We start from the raw sequence: 24,897 nt of genomic DNA, 5'->3' as shown, positions 1-24,897 counted from the left end.
TCCTGATAAGATAAGTAAAGAAGAACAAGGAAGGGGCCCCAGGTAGGGGAGGGCCTAGGTAGGGGAGAAAAATGAGCAATTGTTCTGAGAGATGGCCAATCACAAATGATTTGAGGGTACAATGACCTCCTTCTGCACGTACCCCCTCCAGCATGACCCTATAAAACTTCCCTGCAGCCCCAGGCTCTTTGCAGACAGCCCTTCTCTGCTGTGCTGCCCATTGCACCCTTGAAACATATTTTCATACTTTCTCTAATCTGCCTTTCTTTACCTACAACTGTCTTGGTAAATTTTACCACCCATGACACCATCCCCAACTAGATGCACCCAGGACAGCATTAAAATTTCTATAGATATTTCCAAATTGTCTTTCAAGAATTTGTCTAATTTGCACCTCCCTCCCCAACAGCCCTAACAGTGTTTGGCTGTGTTTGTTTGCCTACAGCCTCACCAGCACTGGCTATTATCAAACATCTTTGTCTCTACCAAACTCTTGGGAAAAAATGAAATTAAAGTGTTTTCCTTTGCATTTCCTTAATTATCCATAAGATTGAGCATGTTAGACATCCAAGGAGGTTTTAAATGATCAATGGTCTTGGTCTGGAGCATCCCAACTATACAGGAGACCCCACTTCAGGGAACCCAGAGTCATTCCTAGCAAGATGAGATGGCGTAGAGAGACAGTCCAGCACAAAAACCACACAGGGACTGGAGGGTTTACCTGAAGCAGGGAGAGACAGGGAGAGGCTAGCTGGTGTTTTGAATCTGATGAGACAATGGACAGGGCCTGGATGTTTATGGGAACATTTTGCTTTGAGCTTTGGCACATCCGAAAGAGCCTTGAAATTAGTTTGTTGTAGAGAGTCGTCAGTATCAGTGACTTACTGATCCTTGGGCACAAAACATGCCCTCAGCAAATTAAAAACCCTGTGAGTGATGTGAGTAAAACTCAAAATACTCCTGCATATCACCCAGTCCTGATCACGCTTCCCTCTAGGCTAATGTCTTTGGAGGAAAAGAGTGTCTTTTTAACTCAGAGGAAAGAAAATCTGGATATCAAAGTCAACGCAAAGAGAGGTATGTGTGTTTGCAAAGTCAACTCAAAGGGAGGTGTGTGTGTGTGTGTGTGTGTGTGTGTGTGTGTGTGTGTGTTTGGCTTGGGGGAGTAACAATGGTGTTGACCCTATTGAGGAGTGGTGGGTGGTGGTGGGCCTGGCATTGCTAAGGGTGGTTGCGGTGGGTGTTGTGGGGTGATCCTTGTTACATGGATGCTTAGGATCCTTAAAGCTAGAGAGAGATGAGATGTCATTCATCTATCCCCCACATTGTGCCATGTCAATGCACAATGAGAATATCAAAGCCAGCCAATTAGTTTCTCCTTTGCCCTCAACCCTATTGCCACATCTTCACTCTCCAATACTTCTCTTCCTTTTTCCTTCCAACCGTATTGACATAATCAATGACATTTCTAGAGTGACAGTTCCCTGCAGGGTACACAACAGGAAAAGACTTTATGTTTCTTCTTGGAGAGAGCTGGAGTCTCTACCTGCAATAGTGATCAGGACCCTTCTGTAGCCTGAAGCAGGGTGCCATAGAACATTCCCATTGAGGAAGAGTCACCTATTTTGTCAATGCAGTTTGCCATGGGGCTCATCTCTTACACCTAGCAAAGAGTCACTCTTATTTTACATAAGTTGCCGGAGGCTACAACCAAATCTCTTGCCCTAGGGGGCTAGTGTGATATGCTGGAATTTCTCTTTCTAAGGTTCCTTGTGTATATTCTCTTCCTCTCCCTCTCCCCTTCCCCTATTCCTCTTTCTCACCCTCTGCTTCCTTCTCTCTCTCTCTTTGTGTGACCTTCTCTTTGTGTGACCTCCTCTCTGTGTGCTAAGGAAGTATTGGGGGAGAAGGATAATTCCATAATGTTCATACGGTTGGCTTCAAAGGAACCTCCCTTATGTCCTCAGTCATTTCTATGCTACTTGTGGTCTGCGTGGCTCTTTTCAGAGACCTGTCACCCATCACTAAGTTTTTCTGGACTTGGTGAAACAATTAAGTGGGTCAAATCCCTCAGTTGTTCTGGCTTCCAGGGTGGAGAATTTAGGGAGGATCACACGGCCACAAGCTGAAATGTACTTCTCTTTCCTTCATGTCAGGATGCTCTGAAGTAATAATCCAGCAGTGCTCAGGACTCACTAATGCAGGGAGTGACATTCTAACACTGACTGGAGACACCACTGGCTATCATGACTTTGCTAACTGATGTGGCTAATTCTAAATTGTTGTTGGTTTGGGATGTCAGCAATATCACGGGAGCAGTCCTATGGCATGGTTGACCCAAGATTTGGTTGGCCTTGGGCTTTTGATATTGACCAGCCATGACTCTGTCCTTGAGGCCAGGTGATGCCATGGACATGAGGCAGGGTGACCTAGAGAAACTCTGACATGCATTGTCACATGACACAACAATTCTGATCTACACTTTGCCCTTGATTCTTGGAAGACCTTCACTGGGTGGTAAGATTGGACACTTCGGACATCCTCCTAGAGTCTTCTACTAGTGCCCCTGGCCTTTTCCCTGTGCCTTTGTTTCTCCTTGTGTAGGAGGGAAGATAATGGTGATATCTACAGTGACCTGAGGTATCCATAAAGTCATCTTAGTTGGGAGAGATACCCTTGGAAGTAAAAAGATGAAGGAGTGATGATGATTCCTAGAAATTGTCCAGCAGCAGCCTGTGCATTTCTTTCTTAATCCTAATCTGGAAAGGTGTCATATGTGCCTTCTCATTATTTCTGGATAGCCAGATGGTCCAGGCCCAAGGGAACATCCAAACAAGGCATTTGTTTTGTACTTTGGGTCTCCTAGAAGGGGCACCTTGCCTCCCCTGATCACATAGAGCTACACATGTGACTAGGGAGTGGCAGAGAGTTGGCATGTTTCTAACAGGGTAAGGTTAACACAAGGCTGCTGCCTGGCACTACAGCTCCTTCTCGTAATTGTCAGGAGACCAGGATCCACACGGCACCACCGAATTCTAGTAATGAAATGTCTGCTCTCCCCAACACAGGCCGCGTGGCCAGACTAGAGAGGTGCTCATTAAGTCTGAGGATTGATAATTCAATCACCATGGGGCCAGATGTAAGCAGAAGATGCTGCTTCCCCCAGGGGAAGAGCTTGTCTCGTCCCTTCCCCTGTTTATCTCTTGCCCCACCCTCTTGAGCTGCAGCTGCTTTAGGGTCTCTCCAGATGAGGCATGTAACCCAGGTCTCAGGTGTGCAGGAAGAACCACATCTAGAAACCTCCAGCCTCTCTTCATGGAGTAGATTCAGACAGACAAGTAATGGTCCAAGATTCAGTGAGGCCCCACTTCTTGCCAGCTTGTGGAATAGGAATTGAACTTTGGGAGAAGTCACCTCTACCACATAAATTCTAATGAAAGCTGTGGGCACTCTTTACAGAAAAATGCATGATCACAAAAAATGTGGCATACGATTTCAATCAGTTCACAGACCAAAGAAATCCCCCCATGGATTAAGGAGTAAAACAAACAAAACCTCCTCTCCTAGATTATATCACACATGTCTAGTTCCCTTAGTGCACTTCTCTTTAGTTTGAGGAAACAACAATATCAAAGCTAATAGTGATATCCATGGAGATGCATTTATGGTGTCTTTGAGGTGAGTGGCACCTATAGCCCACATCTGTGCATGTCTAAATATTGTCCCTCCTTCAGGTCTCATGACAAAGCTTCTGAAATTCTTCCCTGATCTTCCTTCCTCCTCTGTCTGAGCATTCAAAGAACTTTGTACTCCTCGAGATAATACTCATTTGCTTCTTACATTATATATTTATACATCTTATGTCCTCTCTAAAGGAGATCTATTCCCTGGAGGTGGAGGCCAGTGAAAATTTGTTTCATAGTTGGCTTCCCTCAGCACCTATTACAGCAACTGTGTATGTAGTAAGTTCTCAGTAAATGTTCTGTCAGCAAATAGATGGAGAATAAATGAGTGTCCTCACTTGGTGTTGCCCGTGTATAACCAGTCTGCCCATGACGGGATGAAGCTGGACACTGGACAAACACTGCACACTTTGCCCTCCTTGCAGGCTTCCAGCACGGTTGCATCCCCCATGCACACCCACCCAGGGACAAGGAAAAGGCTGCCCCTGTGAGGAGGTGCTCCTCCCTCCCTCTCTCCCTTGCAATGTGCTCAGGGGCCTTTGACATTTAACTTCAGTGCAATTTGTTTGTTTTCACCCGAGTTGAAAATACCAACAAATGTCACCTGCCTTCACTCCTCTCTCCCAACATGTGACTCTGATGGGCCAGGAGCTGGCAATACTAATGAGAATCTTAAGTCTCCAAGAATTGGCAGGGAGATGCAGAGCTCTGGGTAGGTAAGATGTGGATATGCAGGTGGTTCTAGCATGAGAAAGGTGAGCTCCGAGGTAGGGAAGGTGAGGCAAGGATGCAAAGTCAGTGGTGGGGTAAGGAGGCCGGTGAGGACAGTTCTCTCAGCACCATCGAAAGGAAAGATGACTTCGTAGTCCTGTGTCTCTCTCTGTTTCAAAAGACTTTTCTACATTGTCCTGAAGTTTTTCTAGTTCCCTGCGTCTGTGTCAGCTCCTTCTGCCTACTGTATCCATTTCTCAGGGAGGGGGCTGGGATGCCACCTTATATTTTTTGGAAATTCATATCAGTTAGAAAAAGATTTCATTGTGAGTGATAAAAAATAAAACCAAAACAATGCAAAGTAGCCCAAATGAGATAGAATTTTTTTTTCTCTATCATGTAACAAATACAGAGATAAGGTCTATATTTGGGTGAACAGCATTGTACCAATGTCAATTGTGCTATGGCTAGGTAATATGTTACCAATGGGGAAAATGGGGTGAGGAGTATATAGAAACTCTTTATACTATTTTTTACAAGTTCGTATGAGTCTTAAACTATTTAAAACAGAAAGTTGTAATGAAAAAAGAGACAAACTGTGGGAAGTTCAGGGCTATATGGTGGTGCCATGATCACCAGATACCCAGGTTCCTTCCATCTTATTGTTTTGCATTCTCAAACCTGGCCACCACCTTATGGTCCAAGATGACTGCTCAAGCTCTACCCACCCCATCTACATTCCAATCAGTAGAAAGCAGGAAGGAGCAAAGACAGGCATGACCTTTCTCTAAGGATACTTGTGGGTCATCACATAGTAGACATTTACTCACAACCCTTTGGTTAGAACTAAGTCACATGGCTGCAACTGAGTACAAGGGAGGCTGGGAAATACAGTCTTTATTTGGGGGTGGCCTTTTGGCCAAATAACACTTGGGACTTCTTTTCTCTTTTTAAAATTTGTATATTTTGTTGTAAATTTACAATTTGTATATATTTATGGGGTACAAAGGAATGTTTTGATTTATAAACACATTGTGGAATAATTATGTCAAGTTAGTTAACATATCCATCACCTCAAATACTTAACACTTTTGTAGTGAGAACATTTGAAGTGCGCTCTCTTAGCAATTTTGAAATGTACAATACTCTATTATTAACTATATTCACCATGTGCAATTGGGGATTCTTACTAGGGAAGAACAGGAAAATGTGTATTAGGGAACAACCAAGAGGCTGTGATAGTCACCCCACAGAGGAAGAGCACAATGCTGCGTGTCAAGGAAGAGTTGGTTGCTTTGGTTATACTTCTGAGCCCCTAGCCTGACTTCCCTGTTACCCCTCCCAACTAAAGAAGGAAACTGTGCTTGCTTCCTTCCTTTGGCAAAACAGGACCAGGACCCCTTTCCCAGCCCACAGAGCCTCCAGCCAGCCTCCTCCATTCAATCTCCAGCTCTGCAAGGGAATTGAAGCCGGAAGTGTTCAGCTTCCTTGGTTCTGCCTTCTGCCAAAGGACAGGAAACATGTATATGGTGTGAATTAAGAGAAACGATTAGGATCTCCCAGCCTTGTAATCTCTCCAGACACCAACACCACAAGTCAGGAGATAGTGCCTAAAAATTCATTAGCGATTCGGTCCTTTGGTAAAGGCAGTGTAGAATTCTCATTTAAGATAATCAGCCATTAATATTTTAACCATCTATGTATTTGATCTTTTTGAGTATTGCAGCAAGATAAGAATCCAAAAGATTAGGGCTGACGGAGGATGCAAAGATTTCATTTTTTTCATTTTTATCTTTTATTGTAAATTTACAATTTGTATATATTCATGGGGTATCATTATTACTTTGGCAGAAGTGAGTCTCTTTTGGCCTCAGGCTCGCCCTGATCTCCTGATTCTCAAAATAATTATTTTTTCACCCTATCTGAGGCTGCCAGAGGTGGGGTCTGGAGGGGAGCACGTGCTTGATGGGTGCACCAAACCCAGGGGGTTGCAGGAGAAGCACAAAACTCACTACCTCAGCCAAGCACTTGGCTCTGCTTCTCCTCTTCATAGTGGGAAGGTATGAGCTGCTTCCCCAACTCAGCAAGCCCGCAAATCCCAAGGCCAAGTGATGGGTGTGAGTGGAGGAAGGATTCACGGGTGTGAAGGACACTGCTCAGGAGGACCCACGCTCCCGGTCTCTCACAGGCTATTGCCCTAACACTAGGAGCACTCGTGGCTTTTGACACCTAAAGGCTGGGCCTCCCTCCCTGAAACTCCAGGGCATGCTCCCCATTCTTTCTTGGTTAATTATCAGTTAATATCAGTGCTTGATTATAAAGTGATTACTGTTTGGATAGAGCCTTGTGTACATTTTGTTGGTTGATTCTAATGGAGGAGAACAGGGGTCAGTCCTAGGGTCCCTAGACTCTGGCAATATCTACAGAGCTCTTTGAGAGCCCAGATGGATGAGGGGCCACCTACTAGGTGGACCACCTACTAGGTAGGCCACCCAGAGTACATCATCTAAACACCTTGATGGGCCTCACCTTATCTGTAAATAGAAATAACTACCACACCCACTTCATAGGGTGGGTGGGAAGATGAAATGTGTTAAGGCAGAAAATGCTTACCATAGAATCAGCACTCAAGTGTTCACCATTTCATGATGATGATGATGATGATATCATCTACGTTTGAAGTAATGAAGAGTGAGAATTATTTGAGCAAAGTCAAGTCTTTCACCTTCTGAGAAGTTCACAGAAAAATAAAGGTTTGGGAACAAACTTGTTAAAGATTCTAAACTCAGGTCCCCATTTAGTTCAGGTGGAAGAAGACATCATGGGATGGTGACAGCTCTGCCTCTAGTGATGTTAAAGGTAGGCAAATTTGGGGAAAGAAGAGAGCCTGAGAGTGAGGCAGAATTCTGAGTTTGAGGTTAATGTCGTAACATTACCACAACTTTAAAGGTAATTAATGTCCTCATTTACACAAGAAAACTGAGGCATACGGTGGGGACATGCTTTGCTTGAGGTTAATGAGAAGGTTGGTAGGGTCTTTTGCTTTGATAGAAAAAGTAGAAATACTTTTCTTGGAAAACTAATAGGATAATGAGGGAATGTGTGGCCTTGTTATAAGGAAGCCCCAGTCTGAGCGGAGACACAGCCCTGACTCAGGGACCCCAGTCTGGGGGAGACACAGCCCTGACTCAGGGAGCCCAGTCTGAGGGAGGCACAGCCCCATCCTCAGGGAGCCCCAGTCTGAGGGGAGACGCAGCCCCAATCCCAGGGAGCTCCAGTCTGAGGGGAGATGCAGCCTCGTCCTCAGGGAACCCCAGTCTGAGGGAGACACAGCTCCATCCTCAGGAAGCCCCAGTCTGAGGGAGACACAGCTCCATCCTCAGGAAGCCCCAGTCTGAGGGAGACACAGCCCCATCATCAGGGAGCCCCAGTCTGAGGGGGGACACAGCTCCCACTTCTCTGGGAGGTCTAGTTTGAAGGAGAAACAAGGCAGATTTTGCTTTTATCATTTATTCCCTGCCTGCACCTCTCTGTCTCCTACTGGAAGAAGATAATTGTGTGTCTTCCTCTGTGCAGACTGTCTTGCCTTTAATAGATTGCAGCCTCCCAGAGGACAGAAAGAAAATTATTTACTCAGATTCTGTATGGAGCTCAGCACAGCAGGTGTTCAATGTATACATATCGCCGCTAATGATGTAGCACAATAAATACACTTAGCCCTAGTGACAGAAGCCTGATGAACACAGCACACAGCAGCTGTATCAGCAAGGCCATTGGCAGTGAGGAAGCTGCTGGGGAGAGAATTACTAAAAAGCCTGTAATGATCAGACACGAGGAATGTAGGGGCAGCAGGGAAGGGGGAGATCCTTTCTCCTCTGTAGCCCCCATAACAGGTGAGCAGGGCTGCATTATGGCCTTCGTGGGCCCTAGCCACTTTTGCCTTGGAATGCTTCTTCCTTCATTAAAATTAAAAATTAAAAAATCTCTCCACTGCTGGTTGCCTTTCTCCTGGGCAAGGAGGCCTCCTACACCCAGACTACACCCCAGCCTTGGATTCAGGAGTGGCCAGGCTGGAGGAAGATTTGATTATTGCTCCCTAGTCATGGCTCTATTCCTGCCCATCTAACCGACAACAGCAGAATTTCCTAAACTAATGGTGAGGTCCCCAGGAGGTGCTGAGTTCTATGAACATGTTTTACATTTCAGCTTTTTATTTTGGTGGCAATCTAAAATTCATTCTTTACCAAAGCTTCTCCTTGAGAACAGCCAGTCACAACTTAAAGAGAGTGCACTTAATAAGAACTGTAATGGGAAACACTGTTTTGAGATTTTATTTTGTGCCTGGCCCTGGTTAAGTGTTTTACAGGATTGACTCAATTAATCCTCACAACTTTATAAGATTATTCGATTTTACAGGTGAGGAAACTGAGGTATTGAGAGGTCAAGCAACTTGCCCAAGACCACAGGGCCAGAAAGAGGCAGGCCAGGATTGAAGCTGAGGGGATTCCTTAGTCCTACAAAGTGGCTGGACCCCAGAGGCCATGTGCCTACCACTAGCCACCTTGCCAGTAAGTCAATTTCTTAAGCCAGCACTTCTCAAGCCGGGGCCTCTTGAGGATGCTTCCTTTAAAAGGTTTCTGTAATTGTCCACCTTTGGTAGATCCACCTCTCTCCAATCACAATACCTTGAATCTTTGTTCTTCCTTCTAGAATGTCCTCATTAAGACAACTGGCCCAAGCTGCTGAAATCCTACCACCTATCATTCAAGGCCACAATCAGCACCACCTCCTCCAAGAAAAGTTCCCTTGCCCTAGTTGGTGGGGGAGTCTTCCATAGAATTCCCATAACTCTTTACCACTTCCTTTTCTCTCCGCCTTGAGAATGATGTCATCTGGGAGGGGGTAGGACATACCTGGACTGCGATTCCAACTCTGCCTTTTGTCATAAGTTATTGAACAAGGTGTGGAAGCTTCCTCGGCTTCAATTTCTCCACTTATAAAATCGGCAGATGGTACTGCATTATTGAATGGCTTAAATGAAATAACGTGTAAAACACCAGACACCCTGTAGATACTTCCCTCTTCCCTTGGATTGCACCTATCCAGGTATATGTTTGTAAGCTCCTCCTGAGAAGAGGGAAGATGTCCCATCCAGCTCTTTCACCACCCCATGTCTGCATGCCCACGTGGGGCTGGTGCTTGACAGAAGCCTAACTGAATGGTTGAATCATTGCTGCTGAGTAAAGCAGGTCCCTGGGGGGGTGAGGTGGAGGGGGTGCAGGAAGGAGGGAGGGCTTGACTGCAATGTTCCAGCTCTTGACAGCAAACAAAGTCAACAGGGAGGAGACTGGAGGTAATAAAAAAAAAAATCATGAAGAAGACAGAGGCAGGAGGAAATGGAGAAGCAAAAAATTGCAAAGCAGGAAAAAAGAAGCCCTATTTGGACTTGAGGACTGAGAGGGAGACTGTGCGGGGTGGACAGAACTGCTAGGGTTTTCTGAGTCTTCACTGCTCCTTGCCCACATTTAATCAAACCAGGGCTGGAAATCAACTTGAATTGATGACCCCCACCCAGCTTAATTGCCCAGATGAGGAGTCTGAGGCACAAAGAGAAGTGGCTTGTTGAGGTTCAAGGCAGGGTCAGTGCAGGGACCCAGCTTATAGAACTCCTATGCATGCTCTTCCTGCTGTATCCGGTTGTAAGTGAGAGTCAGGATACTCCCATTCCCACCCGAAGAAAGACAATATTAGGAATGCAGAGAGCAAATCCCAGGGTAATGGAGCCTGGTGTTTGCAATAAAAATTTAAATGTGCTGTCCTGGTGGCAACAGCGGCTTTTATCTGATCAGCCTGTCAGCTCTTTAGAAGGCTGGGTTCTATAAATGGCAAAACCAAATTGAATTCATATTTACTGCTCTTGAGACTGTGGGTTTGTTGTTTCCAATGGATTAATTTCTCTCGTCTGTCTCTGTCTCTTTCTTCTTTCTCCTTTTCCCCCTTCTTTCCCTTCTTCGTTTTCCTATACTTCCAAGTGCCTTAATTATCCAATAACTCATTGAGAAAGCTGAAAAGAGAGAAGGACTACCTGTCTGTGCTATTTTTCATTTATTTGCTCCTCCAAATAAACTCTCCACCTTTAACTGCCCTGCTCTGTGCCCGGGTAGGCTGACCTGTGCGGGCAACTACATGCAAGTTTCCTTACCCCTTGGCCTCTAGTTAGGTTTGGCCATTGGGGGGCATCAGCAAGTGGTGAGAGGGTGGTGAAAGAGACAGGCTAATTCCCTTGGCCAGCTCCCTCCCAGCCCTAGGTTGTCAGTGGGTTGTATCTGTGTACTTAGGGCTACATCCTCCTGTTGGACAACTCTTCTCCCATGGCTATGCCCTGACTGGGTTCTAGAAACTGCCCTCTACCTTTGTCCCTTTAGGCTAGGGGTGGAAGGCTGAGTAGCTCCCCTCTGTTGCCACCCACTGGGTGCTATGCCACCTCTTCTTTGTTCCCCCACCCTGCCCACATCTCTCTAAATGGTCCCTTCATCAAACATCCTTCAGCTGCTGCTTGGATTCTCTCATCTGTTTCCTCTCAAGCCCCTGACTGATAATGTGTCTCCACCCCTTCTCCCCAGAACTGCAGGGACAGAGGACAGCAATAAAGAAAGGTGCAGGCAGGGAGACTCTGCTCCATTTGCCTTTTGCAAAGTGGGAGGAAGGATCCAGGGCCTGGATTACACCTGGTCTTGGGGGAAGCATTTGTAGTATGTGCATGGGGATAAGATGGCATATAGGCCTAGCCACTCTTTGCCCTCAAAGGCCGTGGAAGTCCTGATCCGTATCTCATCCTGACCCTTTTGTGGCTGCTTGGTAAATACTTCAGAGCTGGCTAATGCATGTGAGTTAGGGCAGCCTATTGTGGGAATCCCCCAGATGGGCCTTTTCCCTATTGCGGCTGTTTTCTATGAATTATGTTTACTGAAATAATCTGTGGGGGCTCAAAAACAGTAAAGGTAGTCACAGCTGAAAAGTCCTCTTGTTTCTGTGTATCTTGGTTTCCTATAAGTCCAGGTTGGCCAACAGGTGAGGATTCTGTCCCAAAGCCAAGGATAGACCAAACCTTGCCGGTACCACGTGGGATCCCTTTGTCTATAACCTGTTCTCCACTGCAGCAGCCCAGCCTGGCCACCCACAAACAGGCAAATGAAACACAAACGCCCTTCAGGAAGGAAATTTGATTTTCTAAATTATTTTTGTTTTAATAATAAGAGGGGTTATTAGAATCCTAAGATTAAATATGCTATGGGTGATGTTACACCACACACATAATAACAGGGCAGGGTGATAACTGCAGGCCTGTGTAATGAGACTCTCCTCAGAGCAGCCTGAGGACATGATGCTCAAGAGACGCAGCGTGGCCAGCCCCTGCTGAGGCCCAGCTCCGCACAACCAGGAGGGGTGTTCAGGGAGACCAGGCCCTCAGCAGGGCCCCATGCAGTGAGGAGAGGTGGCTGTGAGGAAACATGAGGACATTGCTCATGTCAGCCTCAGACCCAGGAGGCAGAAATTTGGGCTTATCCTTGGTATACAGAAAGAAGATACAGCTCTGTCTGATGGAGCCCCAGTCTGAGGGGAAACAGAGTCCCATCCTCAGGGAGCCCTAGTCTGAGAGGAGACCCAGCCCTGTCCTCAGAGAGCCCCAGTCTGAGGGGAGACGCGGCCCCGTCCTCAGGGAGCCCCAGCTCCACCCTCAGAGGGTCCCAGTCTGAGGGGAGACTCAGCCCTGTCCTCAGGGAGCCCCAGTTGGCTGAAGGAAATACAACCCCTACCTGCAGTAACTGTCAAGTCTTGTGTCAGCCCATAATTATGGAGTCTAGCCACAGTGACCTTTAATGCTACCTAGCCTCCTAGCCTTTGCCTACCCTCTATCCTGTGTAGGTTGAAAAAGAAAAGCCTATTTTAATTTTTGCCTGGGCCAACCATAATGAGGAGAGTAAATCATAGAGTGAACATTCTCCAGCCAAATGGAAATGAGTTTAGGATTATCTGCCACTTTGCGTTATTCACCCCACTGCTCCCTTCATTAGCCCCTTCCTAGAGAAGACCCTGCACTGAAGTTGCTCCTGGATGGGTACTAGGGAAAGGGTGAGGCCTTTGGAGGGTAGAGGGTGCTGGTGTGTTAGTGAACTGGGGTGCTCTGTGATTCAGAGCAGGAGGGAGTAAGGGGTTGAGATAGCAAGGCCTAGGGCCTGGCACTTGGATCTGCTGGGGAAGTCCTTGGGTGAGGGAGAAAGGCCCGGCAAGGCCCTGGTGACTGGAAATGCATCCCTGGGCATTCTCCACCTTCACCCTCTGGGTGAGAAGGTTCCATCCAGGAACTCTGGTCTCCCTCCAGGTTCCTAGGGTTGGAGCCTTGCTTGAGAATTAAAGATGCTTGAAACATGGGCAGTGTTGGGGGTCAGGGGCAGTTTGGACAAAGAATCTTCAAAGTCATGACTGATTCAAAGCAAAAATCTCATTGTGTGACACGAGGGCCCCCACGTACTCACACCTGTAGGCTGGAGTGGAGGCTGATAGGCAGGGAGAGGAGGAGCAGCCCAAGGTCTAAAATGACGCTGAGAGCTGCCAGCCTGTGGGTTGTCTGTGTCCCCAAAGCAGGGACAGATCACAGGCAACCATGAAGATTAATGCATTCGAAGCTGACAACACAGCAGGAAAATAGCATTTGTTTCCATCAAAGCTGAACAAACAAGCTGTGCTCCCTCTCTCTTCCTCAGGCAGACTCACTCACATCCAGGCCCCCACTGGTGAAATCCAGCCCTCCTTTACCCACACAGCCCTCCATCAAGAGACACACCCGTTCACTCACCTCCATTCATGTGAGGCCCCCTCACTCACACGCCCTCAGGAGCGCTGTCACACACGCCCACTGTTGCACAGATCTTCCTCACACACACACCTCTCCATTCACATTCTAGCCTCCGCGTTCACACCCCTCACCCCATCCATGCATGGGCCTCCCTCCATTCATGCGCAGACACTCATTCACACATTGGCTCACACGTGTCTCAAGACAACAGACGGCGAGTGCCGCACAGCCCAGGTCGTGAATACCCTGGGTAGAAGATGTTTTCCATTAAACTATTACTACCAGTCATTGGCACGTGAACTGAGGTCTCCTTCCTCTGAAAGTTGCTGGTGTTGTTAGTTATTGACAAGAACATGCATGATTTTTAGATCATTTTTTATTTCCCTGCATCTCACGTTTCTACAGCGGCCCAGTCTCAGTTAGTTGGTCCCTTATATAATGACAGTTATAATTAAGAAGTTTGCTCTGAGCTGGATTCCCCAGAAATGGAACAGTGATTTGAAATAAGGATTTGAGTGTAAGTAGTTTATTTGGGTAATGATTGCAGGAAATGAGGGAAGAGAAGTGGGGAAATGAGATGGGCAAAGGAAGGAGGCCCACATACATTGCATTAAGGAGCAGGTGACTGGGCAGGGCAACTGAGGCTCAGCCCTCCTAGGGGCCTGTAGAAGACTATGTAAAATGTACCTTGGAGTTATCCCACCCAGGAGGTGAGGATGTTGAGGTATTTATCCTCTGTCTCCCTCACTAGCATTGGTTGGGGACTGTTCTCTGGAGGCAATAATTCCTTAGCATACCCAGCCTGCCCCAGAGGTGCAAGCATGCACTTGCATTGAGTCAGAGGCCACAGGGTGTCAGAGGGGCCAAGGGCTACTGTGTCTGTTCATGCTGGAGCATCCATTCATTCATTCATTCATTTATTCATTCATTCGTTCATTCTCTCCTCAAACATATCCCAGGTGCCTACTCAGTGCCAGGTACTGGATTTGCTACCATCGACTCAGAGCTGAGCAATATACAATCCCTGCCAAGAAGGGGTTCCCAGGTGCACAAGGGTAGAAGGCAGGCAAACACATAATTGTGTTGCAACACAATAAAAGCTATCACGGACGTGCTAATACGGAGGCATAATGCTGTCATTGCGAACAGAGAGGAAGTGGTTCTGAGCTTAATGACTTACTTATGATAACAATTGCTTATCTTGCACAATAGAAGTTTAAAAAGAGCCTAATGGGCTCATTCTGCCCTTTTGATGTTTTAGACATTATTTTGCCTTTTTTTTTTCCTGTTGTCTGTGTTACCAAAGACTGCTGTTTTTATCGGGTTTATGAAGAAGTTTGGAGATTCAGGATGTGGCTCATGTCCCCAAGGTTTTGTTTGGGGAAAGAACAGGGAATGTTCTTGCCCATCTTGTGTGGGTGTCTTTCTGCAGCCACTAAGCTAGAACCTTCTGAGAGCAGGAGGCTCACTCAGGGGATTCTCTGTCTCTCTTTCTCTCTTTTCCCCCTACCTTCAAATTAGAAACTGTGACTCCAAAGTCGAACTAAGAGGTCCCTGAAGTCAAAGGCTATGCCTCCCCTGTCAGAGTGGGATCTCTCTGGATCAGGGGCCCTCTCCTACCCCAACACACACTCATTGAGCCTGCTTCTGCTGCCTCTTCTCAAGATTCTAGAAGAATCTCTATACATGGTGGCTTTGGAAAGGAGGTTTTGGAAATCAACTCACTGATGCTACCTCTTAGATGAAACCTCAGAATGTCACTTCCTGAGAGTGTATGGGCACCCTGCAGGGAGGCGGATGTGCTGGAGACAGCAAGGCTGGGATAGGGGCTTCACACTGGAGCTGGCACATGGTGCTGGCAGCATTCACCCCCAGCAACTCCCAAATCAGAAAAGCAGCATGTTTCTGGGCTTGTATGCCCCCATACAAGTGGAACTCAAGTTTCCTTTCCCCACCCTTTCTCCAGAGCTGGTCCCTCCAGGGCTCACCTTGAGTGGTGTGATTTATGGGGAGCAGTGGGGCTCTGGGAGGGGAAGTCTGGAAAGAAGGTGCAGGCAGCTGCCTCTCCCTGGCAGATCCCAACCCCTCCCACTCTTATTAATTCACACTTTCCAGGCCTGGAGCACCCTGGAGGGGCCATTTCTTTTTACCTGAAGCGGAGACAGGCATCTTACTTGATTTACAGGCTCTAGGGGCGGGCGGCTCCTCGGCTGGTTGCTAAGGTATCTTTTAAATGGAAATCAGGGTACAGAGATATCACATATATCGTGCCAGCCATCTGCTAACTGTTGCCTCTTCTGTCTGGAACAGCTCGAGGTGGTTCTGATTGGGAGGCAGAGCCCAGGGAGGGGAGTGAGGGGAGGAAGCCCCTGGCTGGGGGGAAAGCCTGTGGTCAAGCCAAGGAACAAGAACTTTCCTTTTCTGCCACCATGTTCATTATTTTTCCACTCTCTGTCCTCATCTTTGTTTTTCCCTTTTGTTTTAAATGTAAAAATCACATCTGGAGGCTTTTATTACAAACCAAGGGCCTAGTTCCACAACTTTATATTTATTATTGCCAGTATGTATTTCTGAACACGTGTATGTGTGTGAGAGACTCACTATTATCAGGGCCTGACAGGTGGGTCTTTCTGGGCCAGTTAGGCCTCTCTACTTCCGAGAATGCCAGCGTCCCTTCCAGGCCCAACCCCAAGCAGGAAACACAAGTGCCCACATGTAGCCAAACAGCTGGTTCACCACCAGTTACTAAGCAAACCCATAGTGAAGACAGCCAGTCTCTCTGTACGCCAGGCACATGGAAGCCTCCAGAGGGGCCTCCTTTACTCTGAGCATGGCCTGGAGCCAGACGATCTCCATTTAAATTGTGGTTCTGTCCAGGGTAGCTAGGGTAGTTTAGGCAGGCTCAAACCTCTTTTAACCTCACTTCCTAGTAGCTAAAATGGGGATGACAATATTCAGGGCCACAAGGTAGGGTGGGGCAAGTTGCTCACTGCACGAGGTTGCTCAGATAAGGGAACCCTACCAGTGGCCAGCAGGAACACCTCTTTCTGCCTGCACAAGGGTACCTTGTGCAATTATGGTGGCACTCACCTTGTGGGGTTGTGAAGACTACATGAAGAAACCCAGTCAAGGAAGGGAGGAGATACTGTTTCTATCCTGGGTAAATGCCCAAGACTGGACTGCTTCTCTGGAATGGTGTAGGTTCGGTTTGGGGAGTGTTTTACTTCTCCCTGCTCCCCTGTATCTACCTCTCTTTGCCACCCTGCCTTACCCCAGTGCAGACTCATAGACATTCTGGGCAGACAAGCTCTCGCTCCTTTGCAGATGGATTCCTCCTATGAAGGCTGATTCTGACATTTGATACCAGCATCCATTTCAGCCTCGCTTCTGATCCCCACACACCTCTCTCAGCTTTGCCCACAAATAATCCCACTGCCCCTCCTGCCCACTTTCATTTATCTCTTTGTTCCTTGTCCTAGCCCTTTTCCCTAATTGCCATGTGGCTATGAGCTTCTGAATATTCTGTTGTGAGCCCAGATGGAGGATATCCTGGTTCCTCTCCACCACCTACACCACCCTAAGATACTTAGAGGGAACTAGGCCTGGCGTTCCTCTTTACAGCATTTGTCCAAATTCTTGCCCAAAAGAGAGAGCCCTTGCAACCTAGATATACACTAATTACACATATTCATCCAGTCCCCTTGTCTCCCTCCCAACTTGGGATTTAAGCCGCCTTTTGTTTGGCTGTTAGAACAACATATTAAGTGACAGTTCTCAGAATACAATTTTAATTAAGATTCAATAGTCACTTCTCTGTCAGTAATCTTCCATGCTGATTACTTAAAATATATTTACCCAGCTCTATTATGTCACAGATTTGAATTCATTAGACGTTTGTTAATCCTCCACAAACTTTTTTCAAACTGTGGTTTGTTTAACATAATTTACAAGGACACAACTGTTTGAAACAATGGGCTCTGTGCCTCTGAGCTCCAGGGTATGCATCTGGAAGCGTCTGGGCCTTCTTTGCTTGCTGTTGCCATTGCTGTCTCTACCAGAGGGCAGGCAACACAGCCAAGGGTAGAAGGGCACAAAGGATGGCGGAGGCAGTCCATCTATATTGCACAGATGCGGTCCATATGGATCAGCCTCCCAGAATGCAGAGCTGGCGGGGAGAGGGTGGAGAGAGGATCTGGAGGGACAGTGGAAGATATCCAGCACAGGCCATGAATAGCCTTGGCCCTGGGCCCAGGGGCACCTGACAAATATCATTTCCTGTGTGCCAGGACTTGAAAATGTTGGGAAGTGCTGTTTAGCCTTAGAACACTGATGCATTTACTGATAAGAGCTCATAAGAGAGATGGCCTTTCTCATGGGGCCATAGAACACTACCCCATACACATACACACACACACACACTCAACCACCTCTTGATTAATTAGCAAGGGACATCCTTGGATGTGGCTGTGGCTGTTCATGTGCTCTCGTGGGTATAGAGAATACCACTCAACTATATTTGAGCAGATGCCGTAGCCAGAAAAACGTCAGCCTTCTTCATTCTGTGACCACAATGAGTCACAGGGAGGTGTAGCTAGAAAACTCAAGACTCAATGCAAGTGGAGAAGATCCTCATTTTGTTCTATGAGGCCCCAGCAAGTAGAGACCAAGAAGGCCAGAACACCTTTGAGCACAGAGCAAGTTGGAAAGGTGGCAGGTGGAAAGCTTCCATGTATCAACACCTGTGACCTGGTGGGGCCTGGGTAAGGTGAAGCTGGTCTACCTTAGGTGGGAGCTTGGTGAGAACAGGGACTGGCAGGGTGGGCAGGTGCTCATGGGGAGGCCAGGGCAGAGCTGTGTGGAACTCGGCACTTTGGCCAAGGCTTTTAATGAAGGTGCCCTTGATGAAGATGAAAAAAAAAAACACATATCCTATAGAACAGAGGTCAGCAAACTCTTTCTGTAAAGGACAAGATAGTAAATATTTTAGGCTTCAGTGCCATGTGTTATATGCAGCAATGGCTCACCTCTGCCATGGTGGCACAAAGGAAGCCACATGCGATATGTAAACAAATAAGCATGGCTGTGTTCTAATAAAATTTTATTTACAAAAACAGGTGACAGGATATATTTGGTCTGTGAGCTACAGTTCACAGCACTACCCAGTATGGTAGCCAATAGCCACATATGGCTAATGAGCATTTGAAATGTGCTCTGAGGGTAAAATACGCACCAGATTTTGAAGAGTTTGTAAAATAAAAAAGTTAGCCATCTCATTAATAATTATATTGAGGATATATTGAAATAATATTTTGATATAGCTAGTTATATAAAATACATTATCAAAATTAATTTCACCTGTTTCTTTTTACTTTTTTAAAAAATATGGCCACTAGGAAATTTGAAGTCACATTTTTGGCTCACATCATATTTCTACTTCACAGTGATGCTCTCTCCAGAAAAAATACAGGGCAAGCCTCTGGCCCTTGAAGGGTCTCAGGTAGGAGATTTACCCTTAAAGAGGCGCAATAATGGAATTCAAATATACATAATAAAGTGTATGATAGGAATAGATTTTTCAATATATTACGTATCTTTTTTAAAAAAAATAAGCTATTACAGGAGGCCAAGACGGGCGGATCACAAGGTCAGGAGATCGAGACCATCTTGGCTAACACAGTGAAACCCTGTCTCTACTAAAAACACAAAAAATTAGCCGGGTGTGGTGGCGGGCACCTGTAGTCCCAGCTACTAGGGAGGCTGAGGCAGGAGAATGGCGTGAACCTGGGAGGCAGAGGTTGCAGTGAGCTGAGATCATGCCACTGTACTCCAGCCTGGGTGACAGAGCCAGACTCCGTCTCAAAAAAAAATAGGAAACAAAAAATAAAATAAGCTAGTTTTTTCTGCATCTGTGCTCCTCAAACTGGGAGTTATAGAGCTCTACTTCCACAAGATATTGGCCAGGCGAGGTGGCTCATGCCTGTAAATCCAACATTTGGGGAGGCTGAAGCAGGAGGATCACTTGAAGCCAGAAGTTCGAGACCAGCCTGGGCAACATAGCAAAATCTGACTCTACAAAAATAAAAATAAAAATAATTAGCCAGGCATGATGGCAAGTGCCTGTAGTTACTCAGGAGGCCAAGGTGGGAGAATCACTTGAGCCCAGGAGTTTCAGGCTGTCATGAATTATGATTGTGCCACTGCACTCCAGCCTGGGTGACAGAGCAAGAATCTGTCTCTCTCTCTCTCTCTCTCTCTCTCTCTGTATATATATATATAAAATACATAATATATATATAAAATATATAATATATATTATCTCTCTGTCTCTCTCTCTCTCTCTCTCTCTCTCTCTCTCTCTCTCTATATATATATATATATATATATATATATATATATATATGTAAAACCATTGCTCAAGAAAGGGATGTCTTTATAGTAAAAAGAAATAGGAGTAATGCAAACTTAAACATTAATTTAGTGTTTCACTGCAGCAGAATTTCTCAATTCTTCTAAACTTGCTCATGCGTACAGAGCTATTGTGAGAGAAAGCAAGAGTAGGCAATGCTTCCCCACCTTACTGGCCTTAGAAGCCATTTTTGCAGAACTCTAATTAGTATGTTTAGCAGGCAATTTGAGGGGCTGGGCACGGTGGCTCACGCTTGTAATCCCAGCACTTTGGGAGGCCGGGGCAGGTGGATCACCTGAGGTCAGGAGTTTGAGAACAGCCCAGCCAACATGGTGAAACCCTGTCTCTACTAAAAATACAAAAAGTTAGCTGGGCATGGTGGTGTGTGCCTGTAGTCCCAGCTATTTGGGAGGCTGAGGCAGGAGAATCACTGGAACCACAGAGGCAGAGGTTGCAGTGAGCCAAGATTGCGCCACTGCGCTCCCCTGGGAGACAGAGTGAGACTCCGTCTCAAAAAAAAAAAAAAGAAAAAAAAAGGCAATTTGAGAAATGCTGGTCTGCATAATGCTACACAATCAGTGTGCTGCATGATTTTCCAAAAGTCCAACTCAACTGGCTATCATTTTGCTCTATCAGTAAAGCCCCAAGAAGCACTGTATCAATAAGGCCACATTTAGTACAACATGGGATAGTGAGGAAACTGTTGACATTTGGAGGCGCAAAGACTTGAGTCAGATTTCTCTTCCTTTCTTTCTTAGATAGCCATTCTTGTAAAAGCACCTACTATGTGCCAGGCAGCGCTTTAGGCTTTGGGCATGCAGTGGTGAATGAAAAGAGGTCCCTTCTTCTTGGGGCTTTACGGCTAGAGCAAAAGAACAAATTATAAAGAAGACAAATAGTTAAAACATAGATAGGGATTAGTTGCAAGGAGAAAATACAGAGCAGAGAAGAGGGCTATGCAGCGGGGCGGGGCAGGGATGATCATGGAAGAGCATCTGGGAAGGCCTCTGGGAGAAGGTAACTTGTGAGTAAAGATCCAAAGGAGGCTCTGAGGCCATGATCAATCCTCGTCTGTGTATAGATAATCCCTTCCTTCTGAAGGGGATTCCTAAAGCCCAAAAGAGCTGATGTATGTGAGGGTCCAGATAGAGGCTAATTGCTTATGAAGGGTTCAGAATTCACTCCTTTGCCTCCCATCACACCTCCTTCTTCACTTCCCACATTCTCAAAGATTCATAAACTATGTGGATTCTCCTTGGTGAAACAGTTCCCCACTGACCTTGGAGTCTCTCAGCACCAACTCTCTTCTTATCTACAACCTCATTCTTAAGGAATGCTGGTTCAATTTAATTTCATGCTAAGCCTAAACCAATTAAGAATGTAAAATTATGCCTCAAAAAACAGCCATAATATCCTTTCAAACTCAATTATTGGATAAGCCAATGATATGGTATCGCATTCATCCATCCATCCATCCATCCATCCACCCATCCATCCATCCATCCATCCAACAGATAGTTATTGAGCAGCTACTGTGTTCCAGGCATTGAGCTAGGTAATTGGGATACAGCAATTAGTAAAACAGGCAAAAGTACCTGCCCTCTTTGGAGCTGACCATAGAGGACTGAAACAGGAAACAATAAATAAACATCATAAATAAGTAAACTAAATAGTGTGTTAGAAGGTGATAAAGCTAAGGAAAAGAGAAACAGTAAAACTGCATTAGAGGGATTCATGGAAGAGATTAGGTCTTGCTTGAGCACTTGCCATTCTATGCCACTCCCTAAGGCAGTGAGGGTTAATGTGAGGGAGGAAGCTCTGGGTGAGTGCATTAGGAATTTGCCTCCTGACCCTGAGCTTGTGTTTCTCCCTTCCAGGCGCTGAGTGACCAGACCATGGAGACCCTGCTTGGTGGCCTGCTAGCGTTTGGCATGGCGTTTGCCGTGGTCGACGCCTGCCCCAAGTACTGTGTCTGCCAGAATCTGTCTGAGTCACTGGGGACCCTGTGCCCCTCCAAGGGGCTGCTCTTTGTACCCCCTGATATTGACCGGCGGACAGTGGAGCTGCGCCTGGGCGGCAACTTCATCATCCACATCAGCCGCCAGGACTTTGCCAACATGACGGGGCTGGTGGACCTGACCCTGTCCAGGAACACCATCAGCCACATCCAGCCCTTTTCCTTTCTGGACCTCGAGAGCCTCCGCTCCCTGCATCTTGACAGCAATCGGCTGCCAAGCCTTGGGGAGGACACCCTCCGGGGCCTGGTCAACCTGCAGCACCTTATCGTGAACAACAACCAGCTGGGCGGCATCGCAGATGAGGCTTTTGAGGACTTCCTGCTGACATTGGAGGATCTGGACCTCTCCTACAACAACCTCCATGGCCTGCCGTGGGACTCCGTGCGACGCATGGTCAACCTCCACCAGCTGAGCCTGGACCACAACCTGCTGGATCACATCGCCGAGGGCACCTTTGCAGACCTGCAGAAACTGGCCCGCCTGGATCTCACCTCCAATCGGCTGCAGAAGCTGCCCCCTGATCCCATCTTTGCCCGCTCCCAGGCTTCGGCTTTGACAGCCACACCCTTTGCCCCACCCTTGTCCTTTAGTTTTGGGGGTAACCCACTTCACTGCAATTGTGAGCTTCTCTGGCTGCGGAGGCTCGAGCGGGACGATGACCTGGAAACCTGTGGCTCCCCAGGGGGCCTCAAGGGTCGCTACTTCTGGCATGTGCGTGAGGAGGAGTTTGTGTGCGAGCCGCCTCTCATCACCCAGCACACACACAAGTTGCTGGTTCTGGAGGGCCAGGCGGCCACACTCAAGTGCAAAGCCATTGGGGACCCCAGCCCCCTTATCCACTGGGTAGCCCCCGATGACCGCCTGGTAGGGAACTCCTCAAGGACCGCTGTCTATGACAATGGCACCCTGGACATCTTCATCACCACATCTCAGGACAGTGGTGCCTTCACCTGCATTGCTGCCAATGCTGCCGGAGAGGCCACGGCCATGGTGGAGGTCTCCATCGTCCAGCTGCCACACCTCAGCAACAGCACCAGCCGCACTGCACCCCCCAAGTCCCGCCTCTCAGACATCACTGGCTCCAGCAAGACCAGCCGGGGAGGTGGAGGCAGTGGGGGCGGAGAGCCTCCCAAAAGCCCCCCGGAACGGGCTGTGCTTGTGTCTGAAGTGACCACCACCTCGGCCCTGGTCAAGTGGTCTGTCAGCAAGTCAGCACCCCGGGTGAAGATGTACCAGCTGCAGTACAACTGCTCTGACGATGAGGTACTGATTTACAGGTGAGCAAGCGGCTGTGGCAAAGGCAGGGAGGGTGTCTGGCTGGGGAAGGAGGAGGGGATGGGGAGGTCTTGGGGCTGCTCCCACCTATACCCCTCTTCCCCAAAGGTGTCTGTGGGGATTCTGGGGCAAACTGTGCCATTCGTGCAGGTAAGAGGAGATAAAAAGAACATCAACTACAAGGCTAAGAAGAAAAGAATCCACACGGGCAGCCTGAGAGATATGTGTAAAGAAAGACCACACCTCCCGGCTGGGTGGCTGTGGTCAGTGGTCTTATGGCTATGAGCTTATGAATGTTCTGTTCTAAGCCCAGTTGGAGGATATACAAGGACAATGAATAGACCTCTTGGCTGAAGGTTCTGACTCCCCAAAAGAGGCATGCATTTGACCTTCACCTGGACTCATATGCAGTCATGGTTAAGGCTCTGAGGTCAGAAAGAGTGAGATTCAAATCATGGCTTTTCCACTTGCTAGTCATTTCATTCTCCTGGCCTCCCTCAGTTTTCTCATCTGTAAGATAAGGATAATTAATACCTGACTTAGTTTGGACACTCACTAAATGCACTTATTCAGTTTTGGTAACTGAATCAAACTGGCTTTTAAAAAAAAAAGAGAGAGAGAAAGGGAGGGAGAGTGTGTTGACTCATGTCATTAACAAGTCAGGAACCTGCTTCAGGTTCAGCTGGATCAAAGGTCCCCTACAAATCTGTATTCTCAGTTTCTTACCTTCCCTAAGTTCTATTTTTCTCTGGGTTGGCTTCACCGTCAGGGAGTCTCTTTCCCCTGGGAGACCTCTGCTGGGTCCTCTAAGCAGCCCTAGAGCCTACTTAGAGCCCTAGAGGGAGAAGAGCTTCCCTTTCCCAATTGAGCGCTGACTGAGTCAGACCACATCATGTGAGCCCCCTGGGTCTTACAGGTAGCATCAGCCCTCTCACCTGTGCTGAACCCCCTGGGCCTTAGTCTCTGCATCTAGAAGTGAAGACAATGGTACTGACCTTGAAAAGTTCTCTGAAAATCAAGGGGTCATTTCCTAGGTCTGGTAGAAAGGGAGGTTAAATGTGGAAAGCTGCAATAGAATCACATAAGTCATTCAGAGGAAAGAAGGTCACAGAGTGACAGAAGGCCAGGGGCCAAAATGCTGACCACAGATGAGTTCCCTTATATGAAACATGAAGGACATGGCCTAAAACCTTACCGCTCAAGGAATGTATGGTGTCCTTTGAAATTCTGTGTGTTTTATTTTATGCATGTAAAATGATTGTTTGGAGATGGGATCCCATGAGTTTCATCACACAGCCAAAGGGCCCATGGTGCAAGAGAGATCAAAAATACTTGATCCATCCTGGAGGTCTCCTCCAGCTCTGACTGTCTGAGTTGATGAGTCTCTGGATTGGAAGCTCTGGGAGAGAAGAGTACATGGGGAAGAATAGAGTCAATGTGACTGAGGGTGGGTATGTTGTGGAAACCGTAGCAGAGCTGGGGAACTCCCCTTACTTGGCAGCTGCTGGCCTGGTCTGGATAGCAGTGTCACATCTCAGGATGGAGAGAAAGCAGCATCGGAAGTTACCCACATGCATATGTGCACATATATAGGAATATATAGATAGGGGCATATAGTCAAACTTAAATATGCATATATGTATTTTTCTCACTATAAAAGTCATAGTCTTTACTGAAAATTTGGAAAGTAGAGAAAATTATGAAGAAGGAAATAAAAATTACCTGTAATCCCACCATCCAAAGTTAATAAGAGAAATTTGGAAGGTGTCTGAGTTCATTCAAATGGTATTTATAATCAATCCAGTGTATATTCTGTATCTTAATTCTTCCCACTCAACATTACAGCTTGCTTAGTTCCCATGGTATTAAAATATTTTTTATTTGGCTGTATTATAATTTATTTAACTAATCTCCTATTATGGAACATTCAGGTGGTTTCTCATTTTT

General features: G+C 46.9%; 1 protein-coding gene across 2 annotated transcripts in view; it reads left to right on the top strand.

Annotated features, from left to right (window-relative positions):
- The window catches only part of LRFN2 (leucine rich repeat and fibronectin type III domain containing 2), a 195,774-nt gene that overhangs the window by 132,699 nt on the left and 38,178 nt on the right, over positions 1–24,897 (top strand). The window contains exons 1-2 of one of the 2 annotated variants that reach the window (XM_011514762.3): positions 984–1,077; positions 21,535–22,952. In XM_011514762.3, coding sequence (XP_011513064.1) covers positions 21,553–22,952 — 1,400 coding nt within the window. In that variant the 5' untranslated portion in view covers positions 984–1,077; positions 21,535–21,552. Of the gene's footprint in view, positions 1–983; positions 1,078–21,534; positions 22,953–24,897 lie in introns of those variants that run through there. The other variant, NM_020737.3, reaches the window with a different exon arrangement.

The sequence above is a fragment of the Homo sapiens genome, chromosome 6, assembly GCF_000001405.40.
Source record: "Homo sapiens chromosome 6, GRCh38.p14 Primary Assembly".
In the NCBI taxonomy this organism is placed as follows: Eukaryota; Metazoa; Chordata; class Mammalia; order Primates; family Hominidae; genus Homo; species Homo sapiens.
The sequence above is the reverse complement of the archived record's forward strand: the minus strand, read 5'-3'. Positions and strand labels throughout refer to the sequence as shown.